We start from the raw sequence: 21424 nt of genomic DNA, 5'->3' as shown, positions 1-21424 counted from the left end.
CTCAGCCTCCCGAGTAGCTGGGATTACAGGCATGCACCACCACACCTGGCTTATTTTGTATTTTTAGTAGAGACAGGGTTTCTCCAGGTTGGTCAGGCTGGTCTTGAATTCCCGACCTTAGGTGACCCTCCCGCCTTGGCCTCCCAAAGTGCTAGGATTACAGGCATGAGCCACCGCACCAGGCCGAGGCTGGGTTCTAATCTAGCTGCTTTTGTTTCTAATTCTGAGACCTTGGGAAAGTGACCTAATCCAGCAGTTCCCAAAGTGCGGTATGAAGAACAGTATTCCTAAGTCACATTCCTAAAAACAGTATTCCTTAATACACAGATAAGCCCACTTAACTTTCTCGGGCTATGTATTTTTCTATTTAATAATAAAAAAATGTATTCAATAAGGGACCTATTGGTTAGGCTCTAATGCCATAGCTTGTAGTAAACCAATTCCCAGACCATAAAAAGGCAGAAAAGCTTAATTTTTTTTTTTAAATAAAGAAGGGATGAGAGAGCTGACAAGGTAGTCAAAATTTGACAAGAGAAGGTCTCAGAGAGAAGAGGATCTTAAAGAGCTAAACTGACATTCAAAAAGTCGTTTTCTCCCTAGGGTATTTGCAAATTCCTGTGTCGGGTAAGAGGCTGAGAATCTGGGCAATGGACTACTACTAAGAGGCAGAGAAGCCAACATAACTTTTTGCAATCTCTAGTGGGTGGTAAGACAAAAATTCGAGTTTGGGACTGTCAAGACAGACAGAACTGAGGGTCATGATCCTGAAGAGGAGGGGAAAACAATAAAGTAGGCCTGAAACTCAGGAGAGGAAATACTCTACTCAAGGTATTTGCCACACTTGTCAGGAAGCAGGACAAGAGGCCAAGACACCAAGTATAAGGCATCCATAAGGCAGAGTGGTGATTGTGCTAGTTGTATGGTACACAAAACAGATAAAATTTGGAGTTCAGAACCCATTAATGAGTAGGGATCTCATAAAAACACCAGGATTTCAGCTGAGATTCCAGGAGGGCCATGGTATAGAAGTGGAAGCAAATGAGAGGTAGACTGGGTCTTACAAAAACTATAACCCAACCTTGAGGTGGCTTAGTCCTAGATCTAATTGGACTCTACACTAACAGAAGCTCTATAATTTATTATGGACAATGTTTAACATTTGATAAAAAATTATCAGGCAAACCAAGAAACAAGCCCCAAAAGGAAATAGAAACCAAACCGAACAAAAACAAAAAAACAGACCTATATACTACCCAAAGTGATCCGCCAATTCAATACAACCCTTATCAAAATACGAATGACATTCTTCACAGAAATAGAAAAAATATTCTAAAATTTCTGTGGAATCAGAAAAGACCCTAAATGGTAAAAAACATCCTGAGCAAGAAGAACAAAGCTGGAGGTATCATACTATCAGACTTCAAAATATATGACAAAGCTATAGTAACCAAAACAGCATGTTATTGGCATAAAAACAGACACAAAGACCAATGGAACAGAATAGAGAACTCAGAAATTAATCCACGTATCTACAGTCAACTGATTTTTGACAAAAGCACCAAGAATAGTCACTGGAGAAAGCACAGTTTCTTCAATAAATGATGCTGGGAAAACTAAATATGCATCTAGTCATATGCATAAGAATGGAACTAGACTCCTAGCTCTCACCCTCTGTAAAAATCAACTCAAAATGGATTAAATGTAAGACCCAAAACAATAAAACTACTAGAAGGAAACATAAGGGAAACACTTCAAGACATTGGTCTGGGAAAATGTTTTATGAGTACAACCTTTTATAAGCACAGGCAACAAAAGCAAAAATAAACAAATGGGATTATGTCAAACTGAAAAGCTTCTGTATAGCAAAGGAAACAATCAACAGAGTGAAAAGATAACCTATGGAATAGAAAAAAATACATACAACTTACTCATCTAATCAGATAGGGAATTAATATCCAGAATATACAAGGAACTTAAACATCTCAACAGTAAAAAAACAAACAAACAAATAAAAACAAAAAACTCTACTCTGTTTTAAAAAAGGGCAAATGACCTGAACAGGCATTTCTCAAAAGAAGATATATAAATGGCCAAAAAAATGGGAAAAAAGCTCATTATCACTAATCATCAGGAAAATGCAAATCAAAACCAGTGAGGTATCATCTCACTCCAGTAAGAATGGCTATCATTAAAAAGAGAAAAAAAAAGCAGATGCTGGTGAGGATGCAGAGAAAAGAAACAAACAGAACTACCATATGATCCAGCAATCCCACTATTGGGTATTTCTCCAAAGGAAAGGAAATTAGTACGTTAAAGAGACATTTGCACCCCCATGTTTACTACAGCATTATTCACTATAGCCAAGACATGAAATCAACCCAAATGTCCAACAACAGATAAATGGATAAAGAAAGTGTGGTATATATACATGATCGAATACTACTTATCTATAAAGAAGAATGAAATCCTGTCATTCACCATAACATGGATGGAACTGTAAGACATTATGTTACATGAAATAAGCCAGGAACACAAAGTTAAACACTATGTATTCTCACTCGTACGTGGAAGCTAAAAAAAGTTGATCTCACAGAAGTAAAAAGTAGAACAGAGGATATTAGAGGCTGGGAAGGGTAAGAAGGAGGAGGCAATAGGGAGAGATTTTTAAAAGTATACAAAATTAGAGCTAGATAGGAGGAATAAATTCTAGTGTTCTACAGCAATGTAGGATAACTACAGTTAACAATAATATATTACATAGTTTCAAATAGTGAGAAGGAGGATATTGAATGTTCACAATACAAAGAAATGATAAATGTTTGAGATGATGGATATGCTAATTGCTCTGCTCTGATCACCATACATTATATGTATCAAAACATCACGATGGGCAGGGTGTTGTGGCTCACGCCCATAATCCCAGCAATTTGAGAGGCCAAGGTGAGAGGATCGTTTAAGCTCAGGAGTTTGAGACCAGCCTGGGCAACACAGCGAGACCTCATCTCTAATAAAAATAAAAAAAATTAGCCAGGTGTGGTGGCATGTGCCTGTAGTCCCAGCTACTCAGGAGGCCGAGTTGGGAAAATCTCTTGAGCCTGCAAGATACGGGTTGCAGTGAGCTGTGATCACGCCACTGCACTCTGGCCTTCTGGCCTCGGTGACAGAGCAAGACCCTCTCTTAAAACACCAAACCCATCACTATGTACCCCATAAATATTTGCAATTATTATGTGGAAATTAAAAAAAATCTTTAAAAACCAGACCTACAAATGACTGAGATATTGTAGTTTTCAGACACAGAATTTATTACTACTATGATTAATATGTTAGAAAAAAATAGATGACAAGGTAGAGGATTATACTACAGAACTAGGATGAATAAGAAATAATCAGATACTTTAGAAAATAAAAAAGGGACTATTGAAATAAAGCATCCACTAGATTTTTTTTTTTTTTGAGACAGAGACTTGCTCTGTCTCCCAGGCTCGTGTGCAGTGGTGCGATCTTGGCTCACTGCAACCTCTGCCTCCTGGGTTCAAGCAATTCTCCTGCCTCAGTCTCCCAAGTAGCTGGGAGTACAGGCACCTGCCACCATGCCCAGGTAATTTTTCTATTTTTGGTAGAGTCAGGGTTTCACCATGTTGGCCAGGCTGGTCTTGAACTCCTGGCCTCAAGTGATCTGCCTGCCTTGGCCTCCCAAAGTGCTGGGATTACAGGCATGAGCCACTGGACCCAGCCTCACTGGATGTTTTGAAATGCAGATGGGACAAAGCAGAAGAGAGAATCAGGGAACTAAATGCCAGGTCAGTGCAAAATATACAGCCTGAAGCTCGGGGAGGAAAAGGGGTAAAACACACACACACACACACACACACACACACACACACACACACACACAAAGAGCATAAAAGGCATATGGGATACAATGAAAAGACCTAGTATATGTATAACTAGATTCCCAAGTATAAACAGTTCTAGTATCTAAAGAGATAATGGCTGAGAATTTTCCAAATCTGATGAAAGTCATCAATCACAGATTCAAGAAGCACTAAAAATCCCAGCAGGATAAATAAAAGGAAAACCAGAACTAAGGATAAAGTTAAAGTTTGACAAATTCTAAAAAGCAGCTAGAGAAAATAAAAATATTATATATAAAAGAGCAGAATAAGAGTAACAGCTGACTTCTCAACAAAAATAAGAGAATCCAAAAGATAATGGAAAGCCATTTATAAAGAACTCAAAAAGTATAACTCCCAACATAGAGAACTATACACATTGAAAGGCAAAAGGAAACTTTCAGACAAACAAAAACTGAGAATTCAGGCTGGGCACGATGGCTCACTCCTGTAATCCCAGCACTTTGGGAGGCCGAGGCGGGCGGATCACTTGAAGTCAGGAGTTAGTGACCAGCCTGGCCAACATGGCAAAACTGTCTCTAATAAAAACACAAAAACTAGCTGGGTATGATGGCGCATGCCTGTAATCCCAGCTACTCAGGAGGCTGAGGCATGAGAATTACTTGAAACTGGAAGGTGGAGGCTGCAGTGAGCTGAGATCACACCACTGCACTCCAGTCTGGGCAACAGGGCAAGACCGAGAAGCTAAATGAGAAGAAAAAGAAAAAAATACTTGATCAATCCAAAAACAGCAGGAAAGGAGAGAAAAAAGAAGATACACATGTAAGACAGAACAAAAAGAGTAAGATGTAAGATATGAACACAAATACATTAGTAACTTATATTAAATATAAACAGGCTGATTAAAATATGAAGATTGTCAGAATTAATTAAAAAACAACAAAAGTCATATAAGAACACAGAAAGGTTGAAAATAAAGGAATGAAAAAAGATATCATGTAAACACTAACCAATAGAAAGCTGGCATAGATATTAAGGCAAGATGCATCATTAGAGATTAAGAAGGACATTTCATAAGGTAAAAGGTTCAATGCATCAGGAAGACGTGAGAATTATAAATTTATATACACTTAGTTAAGATAGCTTTAAAATACATAAAGCAAGGCTGGCATGGTGGCTCACACCTGTAATCCCCGCACTATGGGAGCCCAAGGTGGGTGAATTGCTTGAGCCCAGGAGTTCAAGATCAGTCTGGGCAAGACAGTGAGACCTCGTCTCTTCAAAAAATTTAAAAAATTAGCGTGGTGGTACGTGCCTGTAATCCTAGCTACTTGGGAGGCTGAAGTGGGAGGACTGCTTGAGCCCAGGAGGTGGAGGCTGCAGTGAGCCTGGAGAGCACCACTGCACTCCAGCCTGGGTGACAAGACGAGACCCTCTCTCAAAAAAACAAACAGAAAACAAAATAACATCACATCAAATCCAATAAGACATTAAAAAGATATGTCAATGTTGGCATTATTCCAAGAATGCAAAGGTGAAATATCTTTCCATAATCAATCTGTAATTCACACATTAAAAGAAAAAAGGGAAAAAATCATATAGTAATTTTACATGCAAAAACATTATCTGATGAAATACAACAACTATTCATGATTTTTAAAAAATCTCTTAAGAACAAAACAAAAACTCTTAGCAAACTATTAATGGAAAGAAATTTCCTTTATCTGATAGAGTATCTACAAAGAGACTATAGCAAACATTATCCTTTTTGATAAAATATTGATGGTTTTTCAACTGATATCGGGAATAAGACAAAGGTGCTCACTATAACCATTTCAATTTACTTGTATTCTACATGTCTTACCGTGCTAACTAGTGTAGTAAGAAAAAAAGTACTGTATGAGAATTGGAAAAGCAGAAATGCAAATTATTTTTATTCACAGATGGTATAATTATATGCATAGAAAATCCAAAATAATTATCTGATATGTTATTGCAGTTAATATGTGAAAAAGATCATTATTTAGAAATCTATATACCAGTAAAAAACAAATAGAAACAGAAACCTAAAAGGATGCCATTTAAAAATAGATAGCATCGAAAACCTAAGAATCTTACAAAAGATACATATACAAGACCTTTACACTGAAAAGAAAAAAACATCCTGAGAAAAATTAAAGACTGCATAAATAGAGGAAAATATGGATTGGAAGACAAAATACTGTAAAGAAATAAGTTTTCTCCAAATTGACTTGCAGATTCAATATAATCTGAAAAAACTCTAGTAAGGAATTTTTAAAAAATTCCTTTGGTGACAATTAACAGGCCAGTTCTAGAATTTAAGTAGAAATGCAAAGAGCCAAGAAAAGCCAGGATAATCTTGAAGAACAAACTCAGAAGACTGACATTGCCAGATAAAAAGACTGATTATAAACCTAAGTTATCATGAGAGTGTGCAATTGGTAAAGGATAGAGAATGAGGACAATGAAATAGCCTAAAAAAAGACTCACCCATATAAGGTCATCTGAAACATGACAAAGGTGTCAATGTAATGCAGTTAGGGAAAGGATATTCCTGTCAATGAATGATGCCAGGTCAATTGGTTATTCATATGGGCAAAATAAATGAATCATTCTCCCTATCCTACACCTTATATATATATATAAATTAATCTTAGATGAATTGTGCTAGTTGAAAAAAGTAAAAGAATAGAAGTTTTAGAAAAAAACAACAGAAGAGTATCTTCACAAGTTTGAGATCTGCCATGATTTTCTTTAATGGAATATAAGAAGCATTAATCATAAGGGGAAAACATTATGAATTGCCCTATATTAAAATCAAGAACTTTTGTTTATCAAAAGATACCATGAAGAGAGTGAAAAGGCAAGCCACAGAGTAGCAGGAGATATCTACAATACATTTATCTAACAAAAGACTGGCATACAGGCTGTAAAAAGATTTCTAAATCAATAAGACAACTCAATATGGGCAAAAGAACCCAACAACAATACAATCAAAGATGATATCCAAATGCCAGTAAGCAAGGCCAGGCACGATGGCTCACGCCTGTAACCCCAGCACTTTGGGAGGCCGAGGCAGGTGGATCACTTGAGGTCAGGAGTTCAAGACCAGCCTGGCCAACATGGTGAAACCCCGTCACTACTAAAAATAAAAAAATGAGCCAGGCGTGATGGTGGGCACCTGTAGTCCCAACTACTAGGGAGGCTGAGGCAAGGGAATCGCTTGAACCCAGGAGGTGGAGATTGCAGTGAGCCGAGATCCCGCCACTGCACTCCAGCCTGGGCGACAGAGTGAGGCTCCATCTCAAAAAAACAAAACAAAACAAAACTACACACAAAAAAACAAATACCAGTAAGCAGATGAAAAGGAGCTCCATCTCACTACACATCAGAAAAATTCCAATCAAAATCATTATGAGGTCTATTACATACTCACCAGAATGGCTAAAATTAAAAAGATGGATAGTAGCAAATATTGGTAGAGATGTGGAACAATTAGTGCCGTCTCATAAAATTGGGGGAGTTTATATTGGTACCATCCTTGCAAATCCGGAGCTGAAAAATGTAACTCTTTGGTATCATAACTATGGTGGTGGTTACATGATCTTATGTGTTTGTCAAAACCCACAGAACTTGACACTACAAAAAGTGAATTTTATTGAGAAAATAAAACCCCAATCAGGATGTGAAAAGAAACCAAAATGGAATACTCTTAACAAGTGACCCTACCTGTATTACAAATGAATAATGTAACCATAATGAGTGGATGAAATAAAAGAGCTAATTTACTTTGGATAACTATATATTGACTGGACACTATTGGGCTACAGAAAAAAAGAACTGTAAGCAAATATTATACTCTAAAGGGTAAATCTCTTTCTCATACAAGGGTATGGGCAAGCAATTCAAAACTACTTTAGGATAAAACAAATAAGTAAATACATTTTAGATAATGAGAGCCAGAATTTTCAATGTCAAAGGAAGAAGTTGTACAAAAGGAAGAATGAAGGCTAGAATGAGCCTTGTGCTGCTGGACTGAAATAAAATTTATCAGTATGACTTCATGTTTTAAAAATATATAAACATATAGATACAGAAATAAATATAGATGAGTGAGTATACATAGGTTATTATACATACATATATTGCCAAGTTCTGTTTGCTAAGAGGGCCTAGAAGCAAAGACACTCAAGGAACAAAGAGCATATCTAGAGCACAGTTACAGGTTTCTAAAAACCATTCTTCAATAAAGGGAACCAGGGTTCCTTGGAGAAATAGTTGATTATAGGACTGAAGTGGAGAAAATACAACGTGAGCCCGGGGGATCTTATGTTGTCAAAAAGTAAGAAAGTGCACAAAAATGGATGGAGATAGAGCAGACAAAAGTCTACATACTGAGTGGTTCCATTTCAAAAACAGGCAAAGCTAACTGTCAGTAGTAGAAGCTAAGACAATGGTTACCTTCAGTGGGGATAAAGATTAGGAGGGGGCACAAGGAGAAGCTTCTTAAGTGCTATAAGTATTGTATTTCCTGATCTGGTTATAGCTACACAGGTCCATCCACTTAATGAAAAGTTGTATCAATTTTGTATGCACATTATACTTCAATACAAACTGTACAAGGTGGTCTATAGTCTGTGGTGGTTGTTACATGTTATTTAGTAACATATTTGTGGATTTTACTATATGTAATCTATATCTCAACAAATCTGACTTAAACATCCCTCCAGAAATCAGTGCTATAATAGGGCTTATATCTGCTTAGGATAGGTTGCCTCTTATTTTGCCTTCTAGCAGGATCCTTTTCAATAAAAAGGTGGGAGTTGAAAGAAGTCTCATTTCTTCAGGCTTGAGATCACTGAACTAAATGAACCACATCCCAAAGATACTACTTTGTCAAAAATGTGACAGGTCCACATGTTATTCTAAATTATTTTTGACCAATTAATTAAAGGAGTTTATCTTTTGTGATTACAATAATCTAAAAATGGACCATGAGCTAATAACTTAGTAACTTACATTCATAGGTGAGAAATATATTTTCTCTAAGATCTTACCTGGTAAGAACTTTTTTCTATGAATGCCATACAAGACATTTTAAAAGAATGCCACTTAGTTTATTCTATCTTTACCATCACCAATCTAAGCCAACAAGGTTATCATTTAAAATTGATTTGGCTGTAGTAGAGACATTTTCAAAATGATTTATATTAATATTTTGAGTTGGGATCATGTGCTGACATTATTCTTCCAATGCTGAGATTGTTTTCCTTTAGAGTTTGCATTTTCTAACGCACATTTTCTGAACTTTACGTCTACCAGAATTGCAAATCACACTGACCTTTTCTTACAGAGTAATGGGCAGCATTGAGTGTTTTCATAGAACATGAAAACTTAACTAGCAGATGAGGTAACACGTTTCTTTAAGGACTCAGGAACATGAAGACAAGTAACGTCAATAACCCCATTTACTTAAAATAAAATGACAAAGGGCATTGGGATGTAACTATGTTAAATTATAAGCACCTCAAAAGTAGGAGACTATTTAAAGTAAACTGTAGATTGCCTGTAAGTGTGGATGGATTTTGAAGGATCGAAAAAAGAAGCATTTCCCAAGGCCTGAGTTATTGAAGAACTAGACCCTTAGCTGTTAAAAAGTTCTGTTTTCGTTTTTCCAGCAGATTACGGAACTTGCAGCATTATTAAATCACCTAATCCAGTGATTCTCAAAGTGACAGGTGGAGGATAGACAGCATTGCTATATCACCAAAGGGAACATTTTCAACCATACATAATCCTACACTCCCCTTGCCCCAGACTGTACTGCCCGCATTCTCAAACATCTCCTTGAAGTTGTATTTTCTAATACTCCTCACAGGGTTGTATCAGATTGAAAGAAAGGTGCTTTTAAGAAGGCAGGGTAGCTGAATAGCCAAAGCAATCCTAAGCAAAAAACGAAGCCAGAAGCATCACATTACCTGACTTCAAACTATACTACTAGGGTATAGTAACCAAAATAGCAATGGTATTGGCACAAAAATAGACACATAGATCAATGGAACAAAATAGAGAACCCAGAAGTAAACCCACAAACCTACAACCAACTGATCTTAAACAAAGTCAACAAAAATAAATAGTGATGAAAGGACACTCAATTCAATAAATGATATTGGGAAAACTGGCTAGCCATATGCAGAATAATGAAATTGGACCCCTACCTCTCACCATATACAAAAATTAACTCAAGATAGATTAAAGACTTACACATAAAACCTCAAACTATAAAAATCCTAGAAAAAACCTAGGAGAAACTATTCTGCACATAGGCCTAGGCAAAGAATTTATGACTAAGACCTCAAAAGCAAATGCAACAAAAATAAAAATTGACCATTGTAACTTAACTAAAGAGTTTCTGCACAACAAAAGTAACTATCAACAAAATAAACAGACAGCCTACAGATTAGGAGAAAATATTTGCTAACTATGCAACCAATAAAGGACTAATATCCAGAATCTATAAGGAACCTAAACAAATTAACAAGAAAAACCCAAATTACTCCATTAAAAAGTAGGCAAGGGACATGAACAAATGCTTCTCAAAATAAGACATACAGCTAGGCATGGTGACTCATGTCTGTAATCTCAGCACTTTGGAAGGCTGAGGCAGGAGAACTGCTTGAGCCTCAGGAAGTATGAGACCAGCCTGAGCAACATAGCAAGACACTTTCTCTATAAAATACAAATAAATCAATACAATTTTTAAAAATGGGAACATACAAGCAGCCAACAAACATATGAAAAATGTTCCACATCACTAATAATCAGAGAAATGCAAATTAAAACCACAATGAGATATCATAATACTAGTTAGCACAGCTATTATTAAAAAGTAAAAAAATTACACATTGGCGAGGATACAGAGAAAAGGAAACACATACTGTTGGTGGGAATGTAAGTTAGTTTGGCCCCTGTGGAAAGCAGTTTGGAACTTTCTCAAAGAACTAAAAACAGGATTACCATTCAATCCAACAACCCCACTACTGGGTATCTACCCAAAGTAAAAGAAATTGTTCTATCAAAAAGATACCTGCATTCTTATGTTTATTACAGCACTATTCATAATGGCAAAGTCATGGAATCAACCTAAGTGTCCATCAACAGCGGATTGGATAAAGAAAGTGTGGTACATATACACCATGTAATACTATGCAGCCATAACAAAGAAGGAAATAATGTCCTTTGCAGCAGCATAGATGCAGCCAGAGGACATTATCCAAAGTGAATTAACCCAGAAACAGAAAACCATATGCTCCACAATCTCACTTATAAGTGGGAGGTAAACAATGGGTATACATGGACATAAAGGGGGAGGCAGGAAGTGGGTGGGGGTGAGTTGAAAAACTACCTATTGGGTATTATATTCACTGTTTGGGTGATGGGTTCAATAGAAGCCCAAACCCCAGCCTTATGTAATATATCCATGTAACAACCCTGAAAAAGTATCACACCCTCCCCCAATTCTAAAATTAAAAAAAAAAAAAAAAGGTAGGACTGTATTTACCAAAAACTCACTAGGTGATTTTGATGTGATAGCACCAGTCTTCCAGTTGAAAACATCTGACTTAATATATTTTCTCCCTTTGTGAAAAATTACAATTCAAATAAGAATTCTGAGTGTTCAGAAAAGTCTACAATTTAGGCCAGGTGTGGTGGCTCACACCCGTAATCCTAGCATTTTAGGAGGGAGGCCTAGGAAGGCAGATTACTTGAGCTCAGGAGTTTGAGACTAGCATGGGCAATATGGCAAAATCCAGTCTCCACCAAAGAAAAAATACAAAAAAATTAGCTGGGCAGGGTGGTAGGCACCTGTAGTCCCGGCTACTTAGGAGGCTGGGAAGGGAGGATCGCTTGAGCCCGGTTGAGGTTGCAGTGAGCCATGATTGTGTCATTGTACTCCAGCTTGGGTGACAGAGCGAGGCCTGGTCTTAAAACAAACGAAACAGAAAAATCTACAGTTTATTTTTCAGTGGACCTATTTAATTGGAAACACATTATTTCCAATTCAGAACAAAAGTTGTATTGCTTTCTCCAATTTTTGGTGATTTATTTAGTATAGAAACTTGGGGAAGTTTAAACTTTCTATAAAGCACTATATATGTATTTACATACATATATATATTTACTTTTTTACTACCATGCTTAATATAATAAGGTTTTATTGTATGAAGATCTCATTAGTAGTTGCTCTCCAACAGGTAAAGAACACTGTTAGTTTTTCCAGTTTATAAACACAGAAATGATTTCCTTCACCTTACTGCCATGTTATTCAACAGATTCATTCAACATTTATAAAGAGGATCAAAATGGACAGTCATCTTTTCTGCCTTCACCCCCAGCATCTTACTCTTTAGGTTATGTTTAATTTTTTTTAAATTGAAAAATATGCTTAAAAAATAAAAATATACATAAAATGTAACATTTTAAGCATTGTTGAATATACAGCTCAGTGCCATTGTACATTCATATTATTGTGCAATTATCACTACCCATCTTTACAACTTTTTCATCCTGCAAAACTGAAACTTTTTACCAATTAAACAATAACTTTCCATTCAGCCCTCCCCCAGCCCCTGGCTAACATCATTCTACTTTGTCTATAAAGCTAACTACTCTAGGTATGTCACATAAATGGAATCACACAGTAATTATCCCATTGTGACTGGCTTATTTCACTTAGCATAATGTCTTCAAGGTTCATCCATGTTGTAGTGCATGTTAGGATTTCCTTCTTTTTTAAAGCTGAATAATATTCCTTTGTATGTATATATCACATTTTATTTATCTGTTCATCTGCTGATGGACACTTTGATTGCTTCTACCTTTTGGTTATTGTGAATAATGCTGCTATGAAGATGGGTGGGCATATATCTGTTTAGGTTCCTGCTTCAATTATTTTGGACATATACTCTGCTGTGGAATTGCCCAGCCTGTTACTCTTAATATTCTTCAGTGCCCAGCACTCCCTTGAAAATTTTTTTGAAACTCAATTAACCTGCAAGGACTGAAACAATGATTGGTATGTGACAGAACCTCTAGGGTAGATGGAAACTCAATCTGAAAGAGGTATGACCCATAAAACAGGGTGAGCGGAAAATACTTTAGATTTACAGGCAATTTAAAGAATTAAATTTATAAAATAAGACAAAGTAGTTTATGTATATCATATCTCAAAAGGAGATAGGTCTGTAGAATAAAACTCCAAGGAAACATTTTGATACATTATTGCTAAGTACTGCAAACTTAACAGTGTGATCATTTAAAAATAGGTTTGGGTGGCTGGCAAGATGGCTGAATAGGAACAGCTCCGGTCTGCACCTCCCAGCGAGATCAACGCAGAAGGCGGGTAATTTCTACATTTCCAACTGAGAGTCCTGGCTCATCTCATTGGGACTGATTAGACAGTGGGTGCAGCCCACAAAGGGCGAGCGGAAGCAGGGTGGGGCGTCACCTTACCGGGGAAGTGCAAGGGGTCGAGAACTCCCTCCCCTAGTCAAGGGAAGCCATGAGGGACTGTGCCATGAGAAATGGTGCACTCCAGCCCAGATAACTACACTTTTCCCATGGTCTTCACAACTCGCAGACCAGGAGATTTCTTCGGGTACCTACACCACCAGGGCCCTGGGTTTCAAGCACAAAACTGGGCTGCTGTTTGGGCAGACACCAAGCTAGCTGCAGGAGTTTTTGTTCATACCACAGTGGCGTGTGGAACGCCAGCGAGACAGAACTGTTCACTCCCCTGGAAAGGGGGATAAAGCCAGGGAGCCAAGTGGTCTAGCTCAGCGGATCCTGCCCCGACGGAGCCCAGCAAGCTAAGATCCACTGGCTTGAAATTCTCGCTGCCAGCACAGCAGTCTGAAGTCGACCTGGGATGCTCAAGCTTGGTGGGGGAAGGGGCGACTGCCATTACCGAGGCTTGAGTAGGCGGTTTTCCCCTAACAGTGTAAACAAAGATGCAAACAAAGTTCGCAAAAAAAGTTTGAACTGGGTGGAGCCCACTGCAGCTTGGAAAAGCCACTGTAGCCAGACCGCCTCTCTAGATTCCTCCTCTCTGGGCAGGGCATCTATGAAAGAAAGGCAGCAGCCCCAGTCAGGGGCTTATAGATAAAACTCCCATCTCTCTGGGACAGAGCACCTGGGGGAAGGAACAGCTGTGGGCACAGCTTCGGCACTTAAACTTTCCTGCCTACCAGCTCTGAAGAGAGCAGCAAATCTCCCAGCACAGTGCTCGAGCTCTCCTAACAGACAGATTGCCTCTGGGTCCCTGACCCCCATGCCTCCTGACTGGGAGATGCCTCCCAGCAAGGGTCGACAGACCCCTCATACAGGAGAGCTCCAGCTGGCATCTGGCGGGTGCCCCTCTGGGACAAAGCTTCCAGAGGAAGGAACAGGCAGTAATCTTTGCTGTTCTGCAGCCTCTGCTGGTGATACCCAGGCAAACAGGGTCTGGAGTGGACCTCCAGAAAACTCCAGCAGACCTGCAGCAGAGGCATCTGTTAGAAGGAAAACTAACAAACAGAAAGGAATAGCACCAACATCAACAAAAAGGATGTCCACACAAAAACCCCATCCGAAGGTCACCAGCATCAAAGACCAAAGGTAGATAAATCCACGAAGATAAGGAAAAACCAGTGCAAAAAGGCTGAAAATTCCAGAAACCAGAATGCCTCTTCTCCTCCAAAGGATCACAACTCCTCACCAGCAAGGGAACAAAACTGCACAGAGAACTAGTTTGACAAATTGACAGAAGTAGGCTTCAGAAGGTGGGTAATAACAAATTCCGCCGAGCTAAAGGACCATGTTCTAACCCAATGCAAGGAAGCTAAGAACCTTGAAAAAAGGTTAGAGGAATTGCTAACTAGAATAACCAGTTTAGAGAAGAACATAAATGACCTGATAGAGCTGAAAAACACAGAACGAACACTTCGTGAAGCATACACAAATATAATAACCAAATTGATCAAGCAGAAGAAAGGATATCAGAGATTGAAGATCAACTTAATGAAATAAAGCATCATGACAAGATTAGAGAAAAAAGAATGGAAAGGAACTAACAAACCTCCAAGAAATATGGGACTATATGAAAAGACCAAACCTACATTTGATTGGTGTACCTGAAAGTGATGGGGAGAATGGAACCAAGTTGGAAAACACTCTTCAGAATATTATCCAAGAAAGCTTCCCCAATCTAGCAAGACAGGCCAACATTCAAATTCAGGAAATACAGAGAACACCACAAAGATACTCCTTGAGAAGAGCAACCCCAAAACACATAATTGTCAGATTCACCAAGGTTGAAATGAAGGAAAAAGTATTAAGGGCAGCCAGAGAGAAAGGTTGGGTTACCCACAAAGGGAAGCCCATCAGACTAACAGCTGATCTCTCTGCAGAAACCCTATAAGCCAGAAGAGAGTGAGGACCAACATTCAACATTCTTAAAGAAAAGAATTTTGAACCCAGAATTTCATATCCAGCCACACTAAGCTTCATAAGCAAAGGAGAAATAAAATCCTTTAAAGACAAGCAAATGCTGAGAGATTTTGTCACCACCAGGCCTGCCTTACAAGAGCTCCTGAAGGAAGCACTAAATATGGAAAGGAAAAACTGGTACCAGCCACTGCAAAAACATACCAAATTGTAAAGACCATCAAGACTATGAAGAAACCACATCAACTAACGGGCAAAATAACCAGCTAGCATCATAATGACAGGATCAAATTCATGCATAATATATTAACCTTAAATGTAAATGGGCTAAATGCCCCAATTGAAAAACACAGACTGGGGAATTGGATAAAGAGTCAAGGCCCATTGGTGTGCTATATTCAGGAGACTCATCTCATGTGCAAAGACACACGTAGGTTCAAAATAAAGGGATGGAGGAATATTTACAAAGCAAGTGGAAAGCAAAAAAAAAGCAGGGGTTGTAATCCTAGTCTCCGATAAAACAGACTTTAAACCAACAAAGATCAAAAAAGACAAACAAGGGCATTACATAATGGTAAAGGGATCAATTCAACAAGAAGAGCTAACTATCCTAAATATATATGCACCCAATACAGGAGCACCCAGATTCATAAAGCAAGTTCTTAGAGACCTACAAAGAGACCTAGACTCCCACACAATAATAGTGGGAGATTTTAACACCCCACTGTCAATATTAGATCAACGAGACCAAAAATTAACAACGATATTCAGGACTTGAACTCAGCTCTGGCCAAGCAGACCTAATAGACATCTACAGAACTCTCCACCCCAAATCAACAGAATATACATTCTTCTCAGCACCACATCACGCTTATTCTAAAATTGACCACATAATTGGAAGTAAAACACTCCTCAGCACATGCAAAATAATGGAAATCATAACAAACAGTCTCTCAGACCACAGTGCAATCACATTAGAACTCAGGACTAAGAAACTCACTCAGAACCACACAACTGCATGGAAACTGAACAATCTGCTCCTGAATGACTACTGGGTAAATAATGAAATTAAGGCAGAAATAAATAAGTTCTTTAAAACCAATGAGAACAGAGACCCAACGAATCTCTGGGACACAGCTAAAGCAGTGTTAAGAAGGACATTTATAGCACTAAATGCCCACAGGAGAAAGCGGGAAAGATCTAAAATCGACATCCTAACATCACAATTAAAAGAACTAGAGAAGCAAGAGCAAACACATTCAAAAGCTAGCAGAAGGCAAGAAATAACTAAGATCAGAGCAGAGGTGAAGGAGTTAGACACAAAAAACCCTTCCAAAAATCAATGAATCCAGGAGCTGGTTTTTTGCAAAGATTAACAAAATAGATAGACTGCTAGCTAGACTAATAAAGAAGAAAAGAGAGAAGAATCAAATAGACACAATAAAAAATGATAAAGGGGAGATCACCACTGATCCCACAGAAATATAAACTACCATCAGTGGATATTATAAACATCTCTACACAAATAAACTAGAAAATCTAGAAGAAATGGATACATTACTGGACACATACACCCTCCCAAGACTAAACCAGGAAGAAGTTGAATCCCTAAATAGACCAATAACAAGTTCTGAAATTGAGGCAGTAATTAATAGCCTATCAACCAAAAAAAGCCCAGGAGCAGACGGATTCACAACTGAATTCTATCAGAGGTACAAAGAGGAGCTGGTACTATTCCTTCTGAAACTATTCCAAACAATAGAAAAAGAGGGACTCCTCTCTAATTTATTTTATGAGGCCAGCATCATCCTGACAGCAAAACCTGGCAGAGACAACAAAAAAAGAAAATTTCAGGCCAATATCCCTGATGAACATTGATGCAAAAGTCCTCAATAAAATTCTGGCAAACTGAATCCAGAAGCACATCAAAAAGCTTATCTATCATGATCAAGTCGGCTTCATCCCTGGGATGCAAGGCTGGTTCAACATACGCAAATTAAGAAACGTAATCCATCACATAAACAGAACCAATAACAAAAGCCACATGATTACCTCAATAGATGCAGAAAAGGCCTTCGATAAAATTCAACACTCCGTCATGCTAAAAACTCTCAAAAAACTAGGTATTGATGGAACATATCTTAAAATAATACGAACTATTTATGACAAACCCACAGCCAATATCACGCTGAATGGGCAAAAGCTGGAAGGATTGCCTTTGAAAACCGGCACAAGACAAGGATGCACTCTCTCGCCACTCCTATTCAACATGGTATTGGAAGTTCTGACCAGGGCAATCAGGCAAGAGAAAGAAATAAAGGGTATTCAAATAGGAAGAGAGGAAGTCAAATTGTCTCTGTCTGCAGATGACATGACTGTATATTTAGAAAACCCCAGCATCTCAGCCCAAAATCTCCTTAAGCTGATAAGCAACTTCAGCAAAGTCTCAGGATACAAAATCAATGTGCAAAAATCACAAGCATTCCTATACACCAATAATAGACAAACAGAGAGCCAAATCATGAGTGAACTCTCATTCACAATTGCTACAAAGAGAATAAAATACCTAGGAATACAACTTACAAGGGATGTGAAGGACCTCTTCAAGAACTACAAACCATTGCTCAAGGAAATAAGAGAGGACACAAACAAATGGAAAACCATTCCATGCTCACGGATAGGAAGAATATCGTGAAAATGGTCATACTACCCAAAGTAATTTACAGATTCAATGCTTTCCCCATCAAGCTACCATTGACTTTCTTCACAGAATTAGAGAAAATTAAATTTCATATGGAACCAAAAAAGAGCCCGTATAGCCAAGACAATCCTAAGCAAAAAGAACAAAGCTGGAGGCATCATGCTAACCTGACTTCAAACTATACTATAAGCCTACAGTAACCAAAACAGCATGGTACTGGTATGAAAACAGATATATAGATCAATGGAACAGAACAGAGGCCTCAGAAATAATGCCACACATCTACAACGATCTGATCTTTGACAAATCTGACAAAAAACAAGCAATGGGGGAAAAGAATCCCTATTTAATAAATGGTGCTGGGAAAACTGACTAGCCATATAGAGAAAACTGAAACTGGACCCCTTCCTTACACCTTATACAAAAATTAACTCAAGATGGATTAAAGACTTAAAACATAAAACATAAAACCATAAAAACCCTAGAAGAAAACCTAGGTAATACCATTCAGGACATAGGCATGGGCAAAGACTTCATGACTAAAACACCAAAAGTAATGGGAACAAAAGTCAAAACTGACAAATGGGATCCAATTAAACTAAAGAGCTTCTGCACAGCAAATGAAACTATCATCAGAGTGAACGGGCAACCTACAGAATGGGAGAAAATTTTTGCAATCTGTCCATCTGACAAAGGGCTAATATCCAGAATCTACAAAGAACTTAAACAAATTTACAAAAAACGAACAAACAACCACATCAAAAAGTGGGCAAAGGATATGAACAGACACTTCTCAAAAGGAGATATTTATGCGGCCAACAAACACATGAAAAAAAGCTCATCATCCCTGGTCATTAGAGAAATGCAAATCAAAACCACAATGAGATACCATCTCATGTCAGTTAGAATGGTGATCATTAAAAAGTCATAAAACAACAAATGCTGGTGAGGATGTGGAGGAACAGGAATGCTTTTACACTGTTGGTGGAAGTGTAAATTAGTTCAACCATTGTGGAAAACAGTGTGGCGATTCCTCAAGGATCTAGAACAGGAAATACCATTTGATCCAGCAATCTCATTACTGGGTATATACCCAAAGGATTATAAATCATTCTACTATAAAGACACATACACACATATGTTTATTGCAGCACTATTCACAATAGCAAAGTCAACCCAAATGCCCATCAATGATAGACTGGCTAAAGAAAATGTGGCACATATACACCATGGAATACTATGCAGCCATAACAAGGATGAATTCACGTCCTTTGCAGGGACATGGATGAAGCTGGAAACCATCATTCTCAGCAAACTAACACAGGAACAGAAAACCAAACACTGCATGTTCTCACTCATAAGTGGGAATTGAACAATGAGAACACACGGACACAAGGAGGGCAACATCACACACCAGGGCCTGTCGGGGGGTGGGGGAGCTCAGGGAGGGATAGCATTAGGAGAAATGCCTAATGTAGATGATGGGTTGATAGGTGCAGGAAACCACCATGGCATGTGTATAACTATGTAACAAACATGCACATTCTGGACATGTATCCCAGAACTTAAAGTATCATTAAAAAAAAATAGGTTTAAGGCACAATGATTCCTAATTAGTCTTTTAATATGTGTGTTAGCACTGCCTTGTGCCATTCTGGAATGTCACTTATGGTAAATTAAGGGACACTTTCCCTCCCTATCTTCCATTAGTATTTTAATGCTAGGAGGTGGGAAAAAGCTGATCCATATTCAAGAGGAAAGGAGGGAAAACAATAACAAATTGGCATCTCTTTTGTGAATTGCCCCACAGGCCAAGCATTTTTATGTTCTTAATCATTATTAAATGGCTTAACATGACACCCAGAGCCTGGCGAATGATTGCATCCTGACATGAGAACGAATTACAAATGAAATGAAAGATCAAGCCGTATTAGAGGACTGCCTCTGGGAAATGAAAATCTTTAATTCTCTTTTATTATTGACATTTATTTGGCTGCAATGAATAACAACATAGCAAAGAGATTCAGCTACACTTGTGCACTGAATAGCTTATCCCAGGGCTCAAAACTGCATTAACATTTATCATGTTTGCTTTTGTAGCTGACACCACTGAACAGATTCTCTATCCATCTTGTATTTATCATGCATTGCAGATATAGTGCATCCTTTGATTTAAGTTCATTTTCATATGGTAGGAACAGCAAAGATTAGCCAGTGTCTTTCCTCAAATAAATTCCAGCTTGTAAGCATTCCTAAGAATGGCTTAATAGATTTAATAAAGAATAAAATGAGTTCACAAGGAAATACAGTCACAGAATGGGGAGGTTAATTTTCAATTTTGGGAAAACTGCAAATTCACAATAAGGAAGACACTTGTACAGTATGTATATCTAGAATATACAAAGACTTAAAATGAATGTCTCCACAAAGAGCAACCAAAGAATATTTTGTAAATCTGAAGGTAGTACTACAATTCCTATAAGAAGCCTGTATGTTTTTCACTTTTCTAAACTGTCCACTGCTAAGACAGGAATAATCCTTATACTATAGGAAGAAAGCAATTCAGATAGTTTGTATCAGTGCAGGGATATCTTTTCATGGTTTCTTTTCTCTCTTGTACAAATTAACAAGGTGGTTCTTCTTGCCATCACAATAAAAGATTGCTAGTACTTGTGCCTTTGCTTACTTGATCCTCTTTGACTCCATTGCCCTCCGTTCTTTTTTTTTTTTTTTTTTTTTTTTGGAGACAGGGTCTTGGTCTGTCATCCATGCTGGGGTGCAGTGGAGAGATCATAGCTCAACACAGCCTCGAACTTCTGGGCTCAAGTGATCTTCTTGCATCAGCCTCCCAAGTAGCCAGGACTATGGGCATGTGCCACTACTCTCTCAGCTAATTTTTTTTTTTTTTCCATTTTTTTTTGTAGAGATGAAGTCTTGCTGTTACCAAGGCTGGTCTCCAACTCCTGGGATCAAGCAATCCTCCCACCTTGACTTCCCAAGGTGCTAGGGTTACAGGTGTGAGCCACTGTGCCCACTTGTCCTCCTTTCTTTTAATCCTTCCTAGAATTTAAGGATTAGCAAGGATATCAATGTATCTTGGGAAAGCCACTCAACATCTCTGAATCTTGTTTGAAATTTAAAAAAAAAAACTTTTCTTTCTTTTTTTAAAGTTTTAATTATGGATAATTTAAAACATATCCACAAGTGGAGATAATAGCATAATGATGCCCCCATATATCCACTGTCTAGCTTCAACAATTAATTCATTACCAGTCTCATTTCATTTATACCCTCACTTTATCTACCACTCACTGAACTACTTTGAAGCAAATATTTTTTGAAACAAATCTCTGAATCTTGC

At 38.0% G+C, this 21424-nt stretch overlaps 1 protein-coding gene across 13 annotated transcripts in view, besides 2 other annotated features; it reads right to left on the bottom strand.

The window, feature by feature from the left end:
• Positions 1–21424, bottom strand: part of ADK (adenosine kinase) — a 558070-nt gene that overhangs the window by 86380 nt on the left and 450266 nt on the right. For 2 of the 13 annotated variants that reach the window (XM_017015698.2, XM_047424620.1), the window contains exon 10: positions 19994–21123. The exons of the other annotated variants lie outside the window; for them this stretch is intronic. In XM_017015698.2, the coding sequence (XP_016871187.1) occupies positions 20954–21123 (170 nt within the window). In that variant the 3' untranslated portion in view covers positions 19994–20953. Of the gene's footprint in view, positions 1–19993; positions 21124–21424 lie in introns of those variants that run through there. 13 annotated transcript variants of the gene reach the window in all.
• Positions 13051–13897: an enhancer, noted in NCBI's record as "H3K27ac-H3K4me1 hESC enhancer chr10:76368772-76369618 (GRCh37/hg19 assembly coordinates)". NCBI's record gives its function as "activates a minimal SCP1, AML or CMV promoter by ChIP-STARR-seq in primed H9 embryonic stem cells {active_cell/tissue: H9 hESC(primed)}" and the evidence as "EXISTENCE:reporter gene assay evidence [ECO:0000049][PMID:30033119]".
• Positions 13898–14745: an enhancer, noted in NCBI's record as "H3K27ac-H3K4me1 hESC enhancer chr10:76367924-76368771 (GRCh37/hg19 assembly coordinates)". NCBI's record gives its function as "activates a minimal SCP1, AML or CMV promoter by ChIP-STARR-seq in primed H9 embryonic stem cells {active_cell/tissue: H9 hESC(primed)}" and the evidence as "EXISTENCE:reporter gene assay evidence [ECO:0000049][PMID:30033119]".

Source organism: Homo sapiens, chromosome 10 (genome assembly GCF_000001405.40).
Source record: "Homo sapiens chromosome 10, GRCh38.p14 Primary Assembly".
Lineage (NCBI taxonomy): Eukaryota > Metazoa > Chordata > Mammalia > Primates > Hominidae > Homo > Homo sapiens.
Note: the sequence above shows the minus strand (reverse complement) of the source record. Positions and strands in the feature narration are given on the sequence as shown.